At 34.8% G+C, this 19,980-nt stretch overlaps 1 protein-coding gene, 1 long non-coding RNA gene and 1 other non-coding gene across 5 annotated transcripts in view; 1 reads left to right on the top strand and 2 right to left on the bottom strand.

Moving 5' to 3' along the window:
• The window catches only part of LOC105373313 (uncharacterized), a 96,198-nt gene extending 92,311 nt beyond the window's left edge, over positions 1 to 3,887 (top strand). The window contains exon 5 of the long non-coding RNA XR_001755943.2: positions 3,794 to 3,887. This is a non-coding gene — a long non-coding RNA (uncharacterized LOC105373313). The remainder of the gene's footprint in view (positions 1 to 3,793) is intronic.
• The window catches only part of HTR2C (5-hydroxytryptamine receptor 2C), a 325,976-nt gene that overhangs the window by 188,681 nt on the left and 117,315 nt on the right, over positions 1 to 19,980 (bottom strand). Inside the window, exon 3 of one of the 3 annotated variants that reach the window (NM_001256760.3) lies at positions 3,705 to 3,795. The exons of the other annotated variants lie outside the window; for them this stretch is intronic. The gene's annotated coding sequence lies outside the window, so the exon portion shown is untranslated. The remainder of the gene's footprint in view (positions 1 to 3,704; positions 3,796 to 19,980) is intronic. 3 annotated transcript variants of the gene reach the window in all.
• Positions 6,037 to 6,148, bottom strand: MIR1298 (microRNA 1298). The gene has a single exon (NR_031578.1). It is a non-coding gene; the product is annotated as a microRNA 1298 (primary transcript).

Here is a 19,980-nt window from a genome sequence, read left to right as displayed (position 1 = left end):
ACAAGAAAAAAACAAACAACCCCATCAAAAAGTGGGCGAAGGACATGAACAGACACTTCTCAAAAGAAGACATTTATGCAGCCAAAAAACACATGAAAAAATGCTCATCATCACTGGCCATCAGAGAAATGCAAATCAAAACCACAATGAGATACCATCTCACACCAGTTAGAATGGCAATCATTAAAAAGTCAGGAAACAACAGGTGCTGGAGAGGATGTGGAGAAATAGGAACACTTTTACACTGTTGGTGGGACTGTAAACTAGTTCAACCATTGTGGAAGTCAGTGTGGCGATTCCTCAGGGATCTAGAACTGGAAATACCATTTGACCCAGCCATCCCATTACTGGGTATATACCCAAATGACTATAAATCATGCTGCTATAAAGACACACGCACACGTATGTTTATTGCGGCATTATTCACAATAGCAAAGACTTGGAACCAACCCAAATGTCCAACAATGATAGACTGGACTAAGAAAATGTGGCACATATACACCATGGAATACTATGCAGCCATAAAAAATGATGAGTTCATGTCCTTTGTAGGGACATGGATGAAATTGGAAATCATCATTCTCAGTAAACTATCGCAAGAACAAAAAACCAAACACCGCATATTCTCACTCATAGGTGGGAATTGAACAATGAGATCACATGGACACAGGAAGGGGAATATCACACTCTGGGGACTGTGGTGGGGTCGGGGGAGGGGGGAGGGATAGCATTGGGAGATATACCTAATGCTCGATGACGAGTTAGTGGGTGCAGCACACCAGCATGGCACATGTATACATATGTAACTAACCTGCACAATGTGCACATGTACCCTAAAACTTAAAGTATAATTAAAAAAAAAAAGAAAAAGAAATATGATCCTGAAAATCTGTCTTGATAAGCTTTCTTTAGTGTGCTTCTAGCTCCTTCTAGAAATTTGGAAGTAAAATTTAACCAGAAGAAATCACATCTCCCTGTGTTTTCCATCTCATTTAATAGCACTATCCTTGTCACTCAAGATACATAGTTAATATTTTCTCCCTTCTTCATCCCTTAGCTCTCATTTATCAGTTCTATCAGTGCTACCTACACAAAAATCAATCTCCAAATCATCCCCTTACTACCGTAATACATAAAATATGGCCTTCCAATATCTAGGAACTCAAAATATTCTGTGTGAGAGAGAGAGAGCTATATCACCCTGACCATTAGTCAGGCCAATACTGTCCCATAAATTTTACCAGACAACACAGACATCTCTTTCTCTGGGAGGTCTGAAAATAAGTGACAGAAAAAATGGTAAGGGAAACCAAAAGGTCCCATCCTGCTTCTTAGCCCTCAATAAGTATCAAACTTTTTCCTTTTTCCTTATGCTAAAAGTATTAAAATGATTTTCAATATTTATTTTTATGTATCCAAATATTAGTATAATTTTTAAAGGTTCAAAGATAGAGTGAAATATGCTGTGCTCCAATAGAGTATAACAAAACAAGCTGATACAATAATCATCTCATGAAGCACTTTATTAGCCACATTTTTAGCTATGGATGAATTCCATTACTGTTACTCAAAATATTATATTCCTTTAAAAATTAGCCAGCTTCCTTATGCTTTTTTACATGTATATTCCTGAGAAATATAAGCAGAAAAATTAAACATCAAATATTTATTTTTCTAAGTTCCAATTTTATTGAGAAGAATGAGTAATAATCACAAAAAATATTATGTATATAGATTTCCAATTTATTAACAAAAATGACTTGTAGGCAAAATCATGTCTCCTCATGCTGTTAAAATTTGCATGAACACTGAGTAGACATGATAGAAAATACCTGTGAACTGGTGGTAAGAGTTTCGGAACATGGTGTGATGGGAATAAATTATATGAATTATGTAACATAAATTATGTTATCTTACATGTTTCCCCAAATGGCCAGGCCACTGTGATGATGATATTTTGCAATAAGAAATGTTCTGTGAGTAATTCTACTAAAAGGGAAGGTGATGCAAAACTTCTTGTCTTGGATAAGATCAATCAATAACAGAAACTGAAAAACATAGCGAAACAACTCTAATGAAACTTTCTGATATGCATATATGGAACTTTCTGATCTGTGTAATGGAACTTTTAAAGTTGCATGAACACAAAAGAATGCTTATAAATTCAAGTTTTCAAATTTGTGAAGGATTGTGTTTTGTAAAATTTTTTTAAAATCACTTGTGAGATAATTGACGGAATAATTGACTAATTTTTAATGAGATTTTATAATATTTGCCTTGAAAGTAGGTTTGATAATTTAATAAGTGTTATAATTTATAATTATAATTATATTATTAATATTATTATATTATTTTATTTATTTATTTTATATTATTATTATATATTATATTATTATATTATATATATTAAATATTAATATTAATATTAATATAATTTATATTATATTATATATATAATTATATAAAATTAATATAATTTATAATTACAACCAACTTATATAACATTTGTGTGTTTCTGTGTTACTTTGTGTAGTCATACATATTTATAATTTCGTGTCCAGAAAAAGATTGATTAACTTAAAACCAATTAGCTGTCTCAAGTATGAAGAGAAAATCACAGATTAAATCATAGAAATAAGATCAGGATCACTAGTCACTAAATACACACTCAGACCAATCTCTCAATCCTTTCTACAGTGTAAATCACAGATCTTTTCATGCCTTCTCTAAAGCACTGTAAAATCTTCAGACATCAATAACAGTAACTACAGTTGCTAAGACAAATGGGGGAGAAACATTAGTTTTCACATAATTTTCAATAGTACAATTTTACACAAGATATTGCAGAATAACCTCAACTAATGTGAAAATTTAATTAAGTATGAATCCATACCATGAGTATTATATTTAATTCATGCCTATGAAATCTATGCTTATATGGCTATATGCCATGTGTCATACAGCATATGTCATCCAAAATAGTGTGAACACTCCAAAACAACTGAACCAAAATCGAATCTCCACTGGAAATTTGGAAATAAATTGCAAACTATCAGAATCCGTATCACTCACAGAAATACTTAAAAGTCATCATCAATAATCACCTTGGAAGCAAAAATAATTTTAAAAAATAAGTTAAAAACTATGGGACAGAGCAAGACGCCATCTCTGCAAAAAAAATCAGCCCCATGTGATGGTGCGGGCCTGTAGTCCCAGCTACTGTGGGGTGGGCTTGGGGACTGAGGTGGGAGGATGGCTTGAGGTCAGCAGGTGGCAGCAGCAGTGAGCCGTGATCGCACCACTGCACTTCAGTCTGGGTGACACAGTGAGACCCTGTCTCAAAAAATATTAACAAAATCAAAGAAAACAAAAAACTGTGGGGTACAAAGGCTGGCACGAACAAGGCTTTTTAAAGGTGTTGTATTAATACTAAAGGCAAATTTTTGAGCAGAAGAGCCATATAGATGTACTTTCCATGTAACATCCACAATCCTTGGCCAAGTCCTGGGTACAAAGTAATTGGCTGATTGATGGGAAGGTAGGAGATTTAAGGTGTGAAGTCAAAAGATACTATCTAAGAATAAAGGAAGAGCTGTGGTTTTGCCCAAATTGTGCTTGGAGAGGATAGAAGCTTGCAACTTTATTGAAAACGCTTGCCTTGCAACTTCTAAAGCTAACCATTTATAATTCATTTTTACCATTACCTTTTCCACCCTTTGGCACTGAAGAAAGATTGGTCGTGTTTCAATCACGTTTTCTGCTCTCACACTACTTTTTATTCTTTTTTTCCCAGACCTGGTTGAAGATAATATTGATGAGTCTTAAAAAAAAATGCCAGCATTTCTACTCATGTTTTAACAAAAATTGGAGAGTCTAGATTCACCCATGAAAAGGTATAGTTTACACTAGATTTCTGGAAATTCCGTTAGCACATTATAATGATGCAGCATATTTTCTATCAAACTGAAAGACTAAATTTCACACTAAATTTTTTTAAATTGTAGAATAGACCATGTGCGATGGCTCACGCCTATAATCCCAGCACTTTGGGAGGCCGGAGTGGGTGGATTGCTTGAGCTCAGGAGTTCAAGACCAGCCTGGACAAAATGGCAAAACCCCATGTCTACAAAAAATACAAAAAATTAGCCAGATGTGGTGGCGTGTGCCTCTGGTCCTAGCTACTTGAGAGGCTGAGGTGGGAGGATCCCTTGAACTCAGGTGGTCGAGGCTGCAGTGAGCCCTGATCACATCATTCTACTCCAGCTAGGGCAACAGACCCTGTCTCAAAAAAAAAAGAAATTGTAGAATATAGTCAACTAGATCACTTCTGTCTCACTTTTTATAACAAAGCATTTAAAAATTGAATAAATAATAATACATATAGAAGTTTGATTTTTATCAATTTTCAGTGTTCAGAAATTATGACTCATAATTCAAATATTATCCCTCTAGTTATTATACCCAGTGAGCTTTTAGCAGATGTCTAAATCAAAAATGAATTAGCCATAAATGTTCAGATTAGTCCTGGGAAGATTATATTAATGTGGCACAGATTTACAATAATTTTGGGGGAGCTCATTTAATTCAAAAATTATCCTTAGGACTAATGAATATTGTAGGAAGTTTTCCTTTCAACTTCAAATGTACTCTAGCGATTTTCTAATAAATCATACATTTGTCATACTAAAAACTCACCTTTGCTAATTATAGTCAAATCAGATAATTTTTATTATTTTGATAGAAAGTTTTTCAGTTATTATCATCAATGAAATTAAAGACTACTCTTCCACCAGTGATTATTCAATTTGAATGCAAGTCTAGGCTCATTACTTTTATTCCCTCTCCTCCAAGATAATGTTAAGTGGTTATTTAAATAGATTTACCTGTTCCTCCTATGCTTGGAATTCAAATGGAAAAAAAAATTTTTTTCTCCTCATTTGTATTTACTAAATACCTCTGCTTGTGTTTGACATGTTCCATGAGCGTGATTATTGTTAAATTATGTGCGAATTCACACAACAGTTAACTCAAAATCTACAGCATATAAAATTATGTTTTTCACAGCTAGACCTATTCCATTTACATAAAATAATACTTTAAAAACATACACTTCCCAATTGATAGACTTAAAGTAGCTATTGCAAATCACTCTATGATGGTAGTAACAGACATGGAGAGAATTTGCCTTAGTGGGCAGAATGCCCAGCAATTTGAAACTGCTTTCTCCATAGGTGGTAGCAGAACTATCTGGGAATTATCTCAGTGTTAGTATGCACATAGCACAACAAACTGAAGGTTTTCAAAGAGCAGAGCTAATGGAGCAAACCATATGCTAAATATCTGTGTTGGAGACCAACTCCAACCGATCTGCAGGACCAAAAGCTGTATAATAGTAGTTTCATATATTCAAATATTTATCGATTGCTTATTACATGCCAGGCACTATGCCAGATGCTGGGCATGTAGTAGTAAACAAGGTAAACCAGGCCCCTGCTCCAATGGAGCTTACATTCTAGCTGGAGATACAGAAAATAAACATTTAAACAAAGATGTAGGATAATTTCAAATCGTGATAATTGCTATGAATAAAATGAAATTGCATCATGAGATAAAGAGTGATTGGGGTAAATACATTAGATGGATCCATGTACATAGCCATAGCTTGAGGTTAGATATCTTTTAAATATTGTAATATACAAATAATATTTGCCAGCATTTGCCAGCTACTCTCCATCACAGTATAAAATAGTTATTTTATACCGGTGAGTTAAGTACACGACAAGTGTCACTGATGGGAGCAGATCAAAATTTTCTGTTAATTTGATTTTAATTTTGCAAGCTAGAAAAACAAATCCTCTTTATCTTTTGTCAAGACACTTAAAAATCAATTTAGTTGCATACTAAAATACATTCCCACTTACATTTACAATGGTGTCTCTTCACCCACAAGCAATTCCTACTTCCCATTTCATTAGATTAAGAGATCACAAACTTTTCACTTTATAACAGGCTCTTCTGGTTGTGGAGGGTTCCAGCTGAGTCATGAAAAGTGAAAAGTTCAGTCAGTTGCCCAGATGTATTTATTGCCAAATAACACAGGGTACTTGGATACATCTGGACAGCCGAATGAACTCTTAACTCCTCGTCTCTCCAACAGCTCTTCCTTCTCGGCTTCAAGACATCCTATATAAAGGGGAAAGAAACAAACAAAAAGCTACTTCAAAGTTGAAGGGTCAGTTTCTGGTTTTGCTGTCTCATCTGGAAAAAAGAAGTGACTTCTGCTATTGTTTTATAACTTATTGATATAAAATGTATACAACTCATAAAATGTAGAAATAGCTAGAAGTACCAGATGAATCTTGTTAAATTCAAATATGTCATGAATACAGAAAACTGAGACAACAAAAATTAATTTGCATAATGAATAATTTATATAATGTATAATTCATTCTAGTATCATTCAACACCCTAGCCGTTAAATATGTGTGATTAGCATAAAGGACATTAGGCTGGGCAGTAGGAGACATGAGTTCTAGTCTTGACTCTTACCACTTCTTGATGTGTCACTCAAACTTTTTGAGCCTCACTGTTTTCATCCATGACACAGAAGTTGCAATAGAGGACCTCTATCCCTTTTTGCTCTGAAATGCTGTGAATTGGGTTTTCTTGCTAAATTGTTGACATTATTCTACGCTGTTTTACAAACAAGATACTTCTAAATAGCTGAGTTTGGTTACAATTAAATCTTACTTGTTATTGCTAATTAAATATAAAACATAGCATTCACCTGACAAAGCCTTTTGTTTGAAAGGAATGCGAAAGTGACTTTTAACTTGAGTATTCTCATAACTCAGTCTACACATCCCACAAATTAATATGTAGGTATTCTGTACCATGCCTTTATCTACTTCCTTAAATGAATCCTTAAATACATTTCTCATTCTTAAAGAGTTAGGAGACCACACAGACTCATAAAAATTTTAAACAAAATTGTTTATTGGTGATTTTATTTTAAAAAATCTTCTGCCTAGAATATTTTACAGAAAAGTGAAGTATAAGAAGTAATGGCCAGTTTTGTAGCTATCTAAAGCTTGGCTTCTACTTTAGTGGTTTAATTCTCAGGTAGAATCTGTTTATGGTTTTGTGTACTCTTCTACCATTTTGTTTATTTATGGAGAAAAATAGTACTTCAGTTTGACAACTTTGAAAATAGTGTTTCCTGTCCCAGTTCTACAAACGTTATATCAGATGGTGTCAATATTTAGCGAAACTGATATGCCTATTTTATAACTCCCCTCAGTGTAATTAAAGCTAAAATATCAGACCACAAATGACATGTAATATATTTTCACTTTTTAAATTTTCTAATTAGATTTGTGGAGAATTCTTCAACTTACCCTCTCAGAGTACCTCCTGTACAACTCAATTTATAAAATAAAACCTGTCAGAAAATTCGAACTAACAAATCTTCAAATCCTTTTGCTCATGACTCTGTGTGTGTATGTGTGTGTCTGTGTATACGTGTGTATGCATGTGTTTTGAGAGTGAGGAATGAAAAGAAAGGTGCTACAACTACACACATTTTATTATAACCACCATCCAAAGCACCATCATTTCATAATCATTTCATAATAATTCAAAGCCCTTTGAATGTTTGAATATTTTCCTTCACGTTTTTCAAGAGGGAGAAGTAACTTACCTAATATAAAAAATCTATGAACTATTGATCACTGAAATTTTGGATAAAATAACCCATTTATGAAACATCAGATGCTTCATACAACATCTGTTTTTACTTCTCACTGAAAGATTCTATATATAGAATTCAGTCACGATCATTCCACTCACTTGAGTGCCATGGAGACAGTTTCTATCACACAGACTTGTTCTATAATATAGACCAATTGTAGCAATTTTGCTAAAATATCAACATGTTGTTCTACAGTTTTATCCAGTCTTAAAGTACATTTTAAAAAGAAAAAAATGAGATGTTTCTGAGACTATAAATAAAATTTGAATATGGACTGGGGTATTAAATTAAGGAATTATTCCTAAAATTTTGGGGGGTGGTAATTGCATCATGGTTTTGCAGTAATATAGCCACAATTTTAGAAATAGATACTGAAGCAATGTGAAATGATTTTAAATAATTCAACGAAGAGAATGGGAAAGAGAAAGGGATAGATTGGTTGCAAAATTTTAATAATTATTGAATCTGGATGATGGTGTTATGGAGGATCACTGTACTGTTGTCTCTATGACTGTTTATGTTTGAAAGGTTTTTAAAATAATTTATAACTACAAATGAGATATGCTTTTAGATTACATAGCATGAAAAATATAAAGTTTTGTCAAAGATAGAAGACTTCATTATTTTATACTCAATCCAGTTTTTATTTTTAGCATTTTATACATCACCAGTCCAGTTTTTAAAAACAAACAAACAAAAACATTATTCTAATTATCTCCTAAAATAATGATGATGTCTTTTCCATAGCAAAAAATTAGTCTTTCTTGATCATATAAAATGGTACAGACATCTTTCGTCTTTGATGACTTTCTCTCCAGTGGATGTTATGATAATACATTTTGAGAACAATGGTCTTTGGGTAAACCACATTTCCAATAACAATTTATTAAAGTCTTTGGATCAGTACCATCCCTTCCACTTAACAACAGCTGACGACAACATGAGCTCTCTCATCTAAGCTCTCCCTGGGGAGGTGCAATGATGATGATTCACTAAATATAGGCCATACCTCTAATTTGGCAAAGGTCTTAAATATCTTTCAGGACAACAATATGATTATTCAGAGAAAGGCAACTGACTGTAAATAAAGTTTTCTGACAGCTGCAGATATAATACGCATATTATGGTATTTAAATTTGTTATGAGTTTCTCTGTAAATTCAAAATTAGTTCCATCCTTCATGACTGGGTATAATTTTTCAAGATCAGGGACTAAATAGGTTGAAAAGTTGCATTGATTAAAGTATTCATTTCTCATTGGAAATCTCTGTTTGCTCAGGAAATTTATGAAAGACAGTGTATTTGGTGCAAATCACCACTGAGGTATGGTGTGACACCTTTGCCTTTCAGGTAATTTTACAGACCTTTTATGTTATGCAGTGAAATATGTTAAAGAGAATATTTTATTCTTTTCTCTCATTCCAGGGATTCTATATTTCATGAGATCACAGAAATGACATCTAAATAATAATGCTTTACTTTTCAAAACTGCATATGATGCTGACTAAATTATGCATTTGCTTAAGAAAAAGAGATTATATGCATCATCATGAACATTTGTTCTTAAGTAGTAAATCATAGGCAGCGTTGCTTCTTCTATTGCTACATTTTAAAAACTGTCACAAAGAGCCATTATTTTCTTTTGTTAATAACAATTGATATGCTTCTTTTATTGATATAAAGAATTGATACAAATCTTCTTTTATAAATAACAATTTCTAGGTTAAAGTTATAGGACCCTATTTTCTTAAATGCAGGTATTGTGTTTATGAAACAAAATCCACAAACAGTTAATGTCCACCTACTTTGTTCCAGGCACAGTGATAAAAGTTAGTTTTACCTCATGTTAACAGAAATGCATATTACAGAAAAAGAAATAGTGAAGTTCAAAGAGGTTAAGCTATTTTTTCTGATAAATGGCAGGATTCAGATTCTGAAAGCATGCTTAAGTGATTTTTAAAAAACACATTTAGGAAGGCAGTATTAGCAAAGAGTTTATGTTTTCATCAAGGTATTGTTCACTTATTCAATGCATTTATTTAATGCCAAGTATGTGCTTGGTAATGTTCTATATACTAGGGATATATGAGTGAATAAGGCAAAGAGCTCTGCCCATGTAGAGGTTACATTCTTGTTCTCTCCATTAATTATCAATTTTTTCTTAAGTAAGAATTTATGGTAAAATAAATTAGTATAATGTCTAAATGTTTTCAAGATTTTATTCATCTGTTCTATAAGTAAAAGAATGAAAGATATGCGAGCTGCTTTTGGCAAACTATCTCAATCTTTAAGGTTACTGCCTAACATATTTGTGATTATATATTCATTACTATTCTCTATTCATACTTAATTTTTCTACAATCTGCTGATATTGGGGCACTGAAACAAAATCATTGTTATTGTATCATGAAAGATTCCTCAAGTTTTAAAGTCTTATTTTAAATTACTAAAATATTTTGGTCCAAATTAAAACCATCTGTATAGGCAAGCAACTAAGAAAATGAAAGCCAAAGATAGAAGAATTGGCAATATAATGCCTCCATAGATAATCTAGCCAATCATATTATATTGCCTATACTTTAGGTAGGTTTGAAAAATTCTACAGGTTTCATAAAACACTTGCTACTCAGAGAAAGCCAGAAATTTTTCTAAATGGTCTTTACAGGTAACTTGCCAAAAATTGGGAAGTTGCTCTCATGAATCAAGTATCCAGCTCATGCCAATATTTGTGGAAACGTAGTCATTAGCCTCCCACACACCTTTTGGCCTGATACCTTGCATTCTGGCAGTAGAGAAGCTATTAGCAGAGGACTTCATAAAGTTCATGTCACTAAATCTGTCATTGTGATATACCCTGGGAAGTACTACTGTCTAAGCCACCATCTGTTGCCCTAAGATAAATAGAAAAGGGAATAAAAAACTCCTCTCAGTTGAGTCATTCCTGTGGAAATGGCTCAACAAGAAAAACTATTAAAAACAGATACATAATAATTGTTTCCATTTGCTGATTTATTATTATACACCAAGTGATGTGAGAAACACTCTATTTTTCTCATTTAATCTTTACTATGAAAACAATGCAATGCCAGATTAAAAGATAAAATGAGATGTTGAATTACCACATAGAACTAATAAGTTACAGAGCAAGATTTAATTTTAGATGTGTTGCACTCCAATATCTACATTTTTTCACTCCTCATCACTATCTCTTATTGTGGTTCTTTTATTTTTATAAGAAACTATAAATTTTTCCACATTAAACATTGTACCTGTCAATCTCTATGTCTAATAAGCATACTCTCATGAGCAGTATTGAAAGAGGGTACTTGAAGACCATCCAAGTTTCTGTTGCTTTGTGTAGTTTTGTTGTTTAGAGACGGGGTTGCACTATGTTGCCTCGGTTGGTATGGAACTCCTGGGCTCAAGCTATTCTCCCATCTCAGCTTCCTGAGGAGCTGGGACCACAGGCACATGCCACCGTGCAAAGTTCTAACTTTCTGTTTTAATAGTTAAGGAATCTGATCCAGAAGAGATAAATGACTTATTCAACGTCCTAATGTTAATTTTTGTCAGTGCCAAGATAAGAAGCCAGTCTCCTGCTTCTTTTCCAGTCCTTTGATTCTGAGCCTTACTGATAGCAAAAAGCCCGAAGAGTCACGGATGATCAGTGTCTCACTAGTTTATGCATAACTGTTAGGACAATTGTCTCATTGCCTCTCTTTAAGTGAAAGAAAATGAAGGAAATGTCATAGACTACAAAATTAAATGCAGTAGAAAGCTACTTTGGAATGCATTTCTGAACACTTGGCTCTGCAAATATTCAAAGAAGGAACTCAGGCAGAAAGGCAGGCATGAAGAAAGGAACAAATGAAGGAGAAGAGGAATAAGAAAAGGAAGGAAGGAAGAAGAGAACAGAAGGAAGAAAGGCAAAGAAATCGTTGTCCTAAAATCTGTATTAATTCCTAGATGTCTGGAAGCCCTGCATGGTTATGTAATGTCTGCTGTTACAAGGACAAATTCTGGCAGGAATATGCTGGCAGGACTACTCTCAAACATAAGTTGTTTATGCAAAACTCTGTTAAATCTCACAGTTGCTTTCTTGATCATTTAATTTACTCACAACAATAGCAGTGGAACAAAGTGATTTTTAAATACAATTAACACTTCCATGACTAGAGGAAAAATTTAAAGATGGCAATTTTGTTCTGTAGAAAAACATACCAATTTTTTATTCAAACAAGTAGTACAGAGATAATCCCATCAACCAATATTCCTAGATCATTATTTTACTATAGTTTGTGAATTTCACATAATTTACAAAATTCTGGACAGAATAATAATCGACTAGGGAGGTTTCAAATAGCAATCTTGATATCTGACAAAATAAATTTGAAGTTAAAAAAATAAGAGTGAAAAAGAAAGACGCTTTTTAATGATAAAAGAAAGCCACAATTAACAACAAAGAAATAGCAGTTAAGAGTATCTCTGCATCCAATAACAGAAATGACTTTTATAAAGGAAAATCTAAAAAAGGTGGAAGAATACATTTATGGGTGCACCCTAATAATAGGAGATAGCTTTTAGCTGTGGCTTACTATGATCAACCTAAGTGATTCACAAGATAGCACTGCCTTTGATATTGCTATCACTGTTTAATTGTATTAGTTGTTTTGAAAGCAATGACTTTTTTGAAGCAATAATGTATTCAACTATCATTTAAGATTTGCCAAAGAATGCCTTTTCTCTCTAAGCCATATAGTTAAGTAACCAGAGAAAGTCTTTGGTCCATTAAATATGAAGCTGAATAATAATAAAACTTAAAAAAAATGTAGTATCTCCCTCTGTCACCCAAGCTGGAGTGCAGTGGCATGATCATAGCTCACTGTAACCTCGAATTCTTGGGCTCAAGCAATTCTCCCGCCTCAGCCTACCTAGTAGGTAGGACTAAAGGCATGAATCACTATTCCTGGTTGATTTAAAAAAAATTTTTTTTAGCTACAGAGTCTTGTTATGTTGCCTAGGCTGGTCTTGAACTCCTGGCCTCAAGCAAGCCTCCCATCTTGGCCTCCCAAAGTAGGGCTGAGATTTACAGGTATCACCCACCACACCAGGCCAATGCTAAAACTTTTGAGTCAGGAAACCAACTCTATGTCTCTAAACCTTCAGGTTAAAATGCATACAGTAATGGAATAAGTTGACTTTAATTGTCATTAATGGAAGACACATGTATGCTGCATTTGAAGGAGCATAGAACTTTGGGTTCCAAAGACAGAAAATTAAGTCCAACTTTCACTTCTTAGCTATGATATTTGGGTAACTTATTTAATCTTTCTGTGCCTTTGTTTAATCTGATATGTGGCCAAAAATTTGATAGTATGTGAAATTGCTCTTAAAAATCTAAATGATTAGCAAATGATAAAATAAAGGGGTATGTTGATTTCATGAGTAAGTGAATTTTATAAAATTAGCCAATAGAATTATGTGATTATTTTGAGATTATGTTCAGAGTGACATGATTGGTAATGAAAATAGTTAACATTGATTACTTTCCTAATATGCAACTCTGATAATATATGTTTTTAACAAAACAACTCTCAGCAAAAATTTATTTTAACTGGATTTTTTACTTTGGCTTCATTAAAGAGTGGGAGACAAACCAAGTTAAAACGGTTATAATACATTTTTCTAAATAGTATTACCTTGAAATACTATTACATAGTATTTAGGCAAAGTTTTTTTTGCCTATTTACTATTATATAGTAAATAGGCAAAGTTGAAATCAGAAGGACTGAATAGACTGTATTTGCACTGGACTAAAACTGAAATGGTAGAGTTTCCATGATATTCAAATGAGAAAGACTGACAATCACTCTGAGAATTTACAAGAACAGGGAAAGAAAAAAGTCACTTACTTAAGTCATAAATTGCAATATGGAATAAATGGCCTGTAAAAGGAGAAATTATTTCTTATAGTGAAGAAATAGTTGCAGGTTCAGCATAAGTACACTCTCTAGTCACCTTCATCTTTAAAAGAAGCTGAATTGTAGCACCATCCTCAGCTAAAATCTGCAGCTTTTGGCAAATCAGTCAAGAAAAAAGTAGGAAGGCTTTTAAAGTGATGTTTACATCTTTAGGTTTTATAGTCTCATTTAAATAATGAACTTGTAATACATATTTATAAACATGGTTTTTAAAATTGTTTTTATTTTATTTATTTATTTATTTATTTTTGAGAAAGGCTGGAGTGCCATGGCACCATCAAAGCTCTCTGCAGTCTTGATCTCCTGGGCTCAAGCCATCCTCTCACCTCTTTCTCTCAAGTAGCTGGGACTACAGGCATGTGTCACCATGCCCAGCCTGATTTAATCTAAGTGTCTGCAACGATATTTTGAATAGAAATGCCTTTAAGAAGTTCCTATCATTTTACCATTTTCTAAGCAGACAAATAGTATGCACTTAAATTAGTTCTTCAATTTTTTTACTTAAAGTTATAAGAATAATTTGTTTTTAGAATTTTGTTCTCAGTTGATGTTAAGATGGCTGGCTTGTAGTCATTGACAGATTATAATTGCTCTTTATATGCAATAGTAATTGAAATTTTTTGTTTTGGTTCATTATTTTTAATAAACTATAGGAAAAAATCTGGACAAACCTTACAATCTTAAATTTTCTTAAGTAATTTATCAAATTATTACCATGTAGTATTTTCACTTTATAAAATTATGTCATTTATATGTAATTGTTGGTTACTACTTTTTTCTTGACTGGATTACCAAAAGCAATAGATTTTAGCTCAACATGGTGCTATGATCCAACCCATTATAAAAAGAGAATGAAGCCAGCTGCAGATTGTATTTATGCAAATCTATTTTTATAGACCATACTTTTTTCATTCTTTTTTATTATTTTTATTTGATTATTATTATACTTTAAGTTTTAGGGTACATGTGTACAATGTGTAGGTTAGTTACATATGTATACATGTGCCATGCTGGTGTGCTGCACCCATTAACTCGTCATTTAGCATTAGGTATATCTACTAATGCTATCCCTCCCCCCTCCCCCCACCCCACCACAGTCCCCAGAGTGTGATGTTCCCCTTCCTGTGTCCATGTGTGTTCTCATTGTTCAATTCCCAACTATGAGTGAGAACATGCGGTGTTTGGTTTTTTTTCCTTGCAATAGTTTACCGAGAATGATGATTTCCAATTTCATCCATGTCCCTACAAAGGACATGAACTCATCATTTTTTATGGCTGCATAGTATTCCATGGTGTATATGTGCCACATTTTCTTAATCCAGTCTATCATTGTTGGACATTTGGGTTGGTTCCAAGTCTTTGCTATTGTGAATAGTGCTGCAATAAACATACGTGTGCATGTGTCTTTATAGCAGCATGATTTATAGTCCTTTGGGTATATACCCAGTAATGGGATGGCTGGGTCAAATGGTATTTCTAGTTCCAGATCCCTGAGGAATCGCCACACTGACTTCCACAATGGTTGAACTAGTTTACAGTCCCACCAACAGTGTAAAAGTGTTCCTATTTCTCCACATCCTCTCCAGCACCTGTTGTTTCCTGACTTTTTAATGATTGCCATTCTAACTGGTGTGAGATGGTATCTCATTGTGGTTTTGATTTGCATTTCTCTGATGGCCAGTGATGGTGAGCATTTTTTCATGTGTTTTTTGGCTGCATAAATGTCTTCTTTTGAGAAGTGTCTGTTCATGTCCTTCGCCCACTTTTTGATGGGGTTGTTTGTTTTTTCTTGTAAATTTGTTTGAGTTCATTGTAGATTCTGGATATTAGCCCTTTGTCAGATGAGTAGGTTGCGAACATTTTCTCCCATTCTGTAGGTTCCCTGTTCACTCTGATGGTAGTTTCTTTTGCTGTGCAGAAGCTCTTTAGTTTAATTAGATCCCATTTGTCAATTTTGTCTTTTGTTTCCATTGCTTTTGGTGTTTTAGACATGAAGTCCTTGCCCATGCCTATGTGCTGAATGGTAATGCCTAGGTTTTCTTCTAGGGTTTTTATGGTTTTAGGTCTAACCTTTAAGTCTTTAATCCATCTTGAATTAATTTTTGTATAAGGTGTAAGGAAGAGATCCAGTTTCAGCTTTCTACATATGGCTAGCCAGTTTTCCCAGCACCATTTATTAAATAGGGAATCCTTTCCCCATTGCTTGTTTTTCTCAGGTTTGTCAAAGATCAGATAGTTGTAGATATGAGGCGTTATTTCTGAGGGCTCTGTTCTGTTCCATTGATCTATATCTCTGTTTTGGTGCCAGTACCATGTTGTTTTGGTTACTGTAGCCTTGTAGTATAGTTTGAAGTCAGGTAGTGTGATGCCTCCAGCTTTGTTCTTTTGGTTTAGGATTGACTTGGCAATGCGGGCTCTTTTTTGGTTCCATATGAACTTTAAAGTATTTTTTTCCAATATTGTGAAGAAAGTCCTTGGTAGCTTGATGGGGATGGCATTGAATCTGTAAATTACCTTGGGCAGTATGGCCATTTTCACGATATTGATTCTTCCTACCCATGAGCATGGAATGTTCTTCCATTTGTTTGTATCCTCTTTTATTTCCTTGAGCAGTGGTTTGTAGTTCTCCTTGAAGAGGTCCTTCACATCCCTTATAAGTTGGATTCCTAGGTATTTTATTCTCTTTGAAGCAATTGTGAATGGGAGTTCACTCATGATTTGGCTCTCCGTTTGTCTGTTATTGGTGTATAAGAATGCTTGTGATTTTTGCACATTGATTTTGTATCCTGAGACTTTGCTGAAGTTGCTTATCAGCTTAAGGAGATTTGGGGCTGAGACAATGGGGTTTTCTAAATATACAATCATGTCATCTGCAAACAGGGACAATTTGACGTCCTCTTTTCCTAATTGAATACCCTTTATTTCCTTCTCCTGCCTGATTGCCTGGCCAGCACTTCCAACACTATGTTGAATAGGAGTGGAGAGAGAGGGCATCCCTGTCTTGTGCCAGTTTTCAAAGGGAATGCTTCCAGTTTTTGCCCATTCAGTATGATATTGGCTGTGGGTTTGTCATAGATAGCTCTTACTATTTTGAGATACATCCCATCAGTACTAATTTATTGAGAGTTTTTAGCATGAAGGTTGTTGAATTTTGTCAAAGGCCTTTTCTGCATCTATTGAGATAATCATGTGGTTTTTGACTTTGGTTCCGTTTATATGCTGGATTACATTTATTGATTTGTGTATATTGAACCAGCCTTGCATCCCAGGGATGAAGCCCACTTGATCATGGTGGATAAGCTTTTTGATGTGCTGCTGGATTCAGTTTGCCAGTATTTTATTGAGGATTTTTGCATCAATGTTCATCAAGGATATCGGTCTAAAATTCTCTTTTTTGGTTGTGTCTCTGCCCAGCTTTGGTATCAGGATGATGCTGGCGTCATCAAATGAGTTTGGGAGGATTCCCTCTTTTTCTATTGATTGGAATAGTTTCAGAATGAATGGTACCAGTTCCTCCTTGTACCTCCAGTAGAATTCAGCTGTGAATCCATCTGGTCCTGGACTCTTTTTGCTTGATAAGCTATTGATTATTGCCACAATTTCAGAGGCTGTTATTGGTCTATTCAGAGATTCAATTTCTTCCTGGTTTATTCTTGGGAGGGTGTATGTGTCGAGGAATTTATCCATTTCTTCTAGATTTTCTAGTTTATTTGCGTAGAGGTGTTTGTAGTATTCTCTGATGGTAGTTTGTATTTCTGTGGGATCAGTGGTGATATCCCCTTTATCATTTTTTATTGCGTCTATTTGATTCTTCTCTTTTCTTCTTTATTAGTCTTGCTAGCGGTCTATCAATTTTGTTGATCCTTTCAAAAAACCAGCTCCCGGATTCAATAATTTTTTGAAGGGTTTTTTGTGTCTCTATTTCCTTCAGTTCTGCTCTGATTTAAGTTATTTCTTGCCTTCTGCTAGCTTTTGAATGTGTTTGCTCTTGCTTTTCTAGTTCTTTTAATTGTGATGTTAGGGTGTCAAGTTTGGATCTTTCCTGCTTTCTCTTGTGGGCATTTAGTGCTATAAATTTCCTTCTACTCACTGCTTTGAAAGCGTCCCAGAGATTCTGGTATGTTGTGTCTTTGCTCTCATTGGTTTCAAAGAACATCTTTATGTCTGCCTTCATTTCCTTATGTACCCAGTAGTCATTCAGGAGCAGGTTGTTCAGTTTCCATGTAGTTGAGTGGTTTTGAGTGAGTTTCTTAATCCTGAGTTCTGGTTTGATTGCACTGTGGTCTGAGAGACAGTTTGTTATAATTTCTGTTCTTTTACATTTGCTGAGGAGAGCTTTACTTCCAAGTATGTGGTCAATTTTGGAATAGGTGTGGTGTGGTGCTGAAAAAAATGTATATTCTGTTGATTTGGGGTGGAGAGTTCTGTAGATGTCTATTAGGTCCTCTTGGTGCAGAGCTGAGTTCAATTCCTGGGTATCCTTGTTAACTTTCTGTCTTGTTGATCTGTCTAATGTTGACAGTGGGGTGTTAAAGTCTCCCATTATTATTGTGTGGGAGTCTAAGTCTCTTTGTAGGTCACTCAGGACTTGCTTTATGAATCCGGGTGCTCCTGTATTGGGTGCATATATATTTAGGATAGTTAGCTCTTCTTGTTGAACTGATCCCTTTACCGTTATGTAATGGCCTTCTTTGTCTCTTTTTATCTTTGTTGGTTTAAAGTCTGTTTTATCAGAGACTAGGATTGCAACCCCTGCCTCTTTGGTTTTCCATTTGCTTGGTAGATCTTCCTCCGTCCCTTTATTGTGAGCCTATGTGTGTCTCTGCACGTGAGATGGGTTTCCTGAATACAGCACACTGATGGGTCTTGACTCTTTATCCAATTTGCCAGTCTGTGTCTTTTAATTGGAGCATTTAGTCCATTTACATTTAAAGTTAATATTGTTATGTGTGAATTTGATCCCATCATTATGATGTTAGCTGGTTATTTTGCTCATTAGTTGATGCAGTTTCTTCCTAGCCTCGATGGTCTTTAGAATTTGGCATGATTTTGCAGCGGCTGGTACCGGTTGTTCCTTTCCATGTTTAGTGCTTCCTCCAGGAGCTCTTTTAGGGCAGGCCTGGTGGTGACAAAATCTCTCAGCATTTGCTTGTCTGTAAAAGATTTTATTTCTCCTTCACTTATGAAGCTTAGTTTGGCTGGATAGGAAATTCTGGGTTGAAAATTCTTTTCTTTAAGAATGTTGAATATTGGCCCCCACTCTCTTCTGGCTTGTAGAGTTTCTGCTGAGAGATCAGCTGTTAGTCTGATGGGCTTCCCTTTGTGGGTAACCCGACCTTTCTCTCTGGCTGCCCTTAACATTTTTTCCTTCATTTCAACTTTGGTGAATCTGACAATTATGTGTCTTGGAGTTGCTTTTCTCGAGGAGTATCTTTGTGGCATTCTCTGTATTTCCTGAATCTGAATGTTGGCCTGCCTTGCTAGATTGGGGAAGTTCTCCTGGATAATATCCTGCAGAGTGTTTTCCAACTTGGTTCCATTCTCCCCATCACTTTCAGGTACACCAATCAGACGTAGATTTGGTCTTTTCACATAGTCCCATATTTCTTGGAGGCTTTGTTCGTTTCTCTTTATTCTTTTTTCTCTAAACTTCCCTTCTCACTTCATTTCATTCATTTCATCTTCCATCACTGATACCCTTTCTTCCAGTTGATTGCATCGGCTCCTGAGGCTTCTGCATTCTTCACGTAGTTCTTGAGCCTTGGCTTTCAGCTCCATCAGCTCCTTTAAGGACTTCTCTGTATTGGTTATTCTAGTTATACATTCGTCTAAATTTTTTTCAAAGTTTTTAACTTCTTTGCTTTGGTTTGAATTTCCTCCTGTAGCTCGGAGTAGTTTGATCGTCTGAAGCCTTCTTCTCTCAACTCGTCAAGGTCATTCTCCGTCCAGCTTTGTTCCGTTGCTGGTGAGGAACTGCGTTCCTTTGGATGAGGAGAGGTGCTCTGCTTTTTAGAGTTTCCAGTTTTTCTGCTCTGTTTTTTCCCATCTTTGTGGTTTTATCTACTTTTGGTCTTTGATGATGGTGATGTACAGATGGGTTTTTGGTGTGGATGTCCTTTCTGTCTGTTAGTTTTCCTTCTAACAGACAGGACCCTCAGCTGCAGGTCTGTTGGAGTTTGCTGGAGGTCCACTCCAGACCCTGTTTGCCTGGTTATCAGCAGCAGTGGCTGCAGAACAGCAGGTTTTTGTG

This window comes from Homo sapiens, chromosome X (genome assembly GCF_000001405.40).
Source record: "Homo sapiens chromosome X, GRCh38.p14 Primary Assembly".
Lineage (NCBI taxonomy): Eukaryota > Metazoa > Chordata > Mammalia > Primates > Hominidae > Homo > Homo sapiens.
This window is presented reverse-complemented; position numbering and strand designations above follow the sequence as displayed.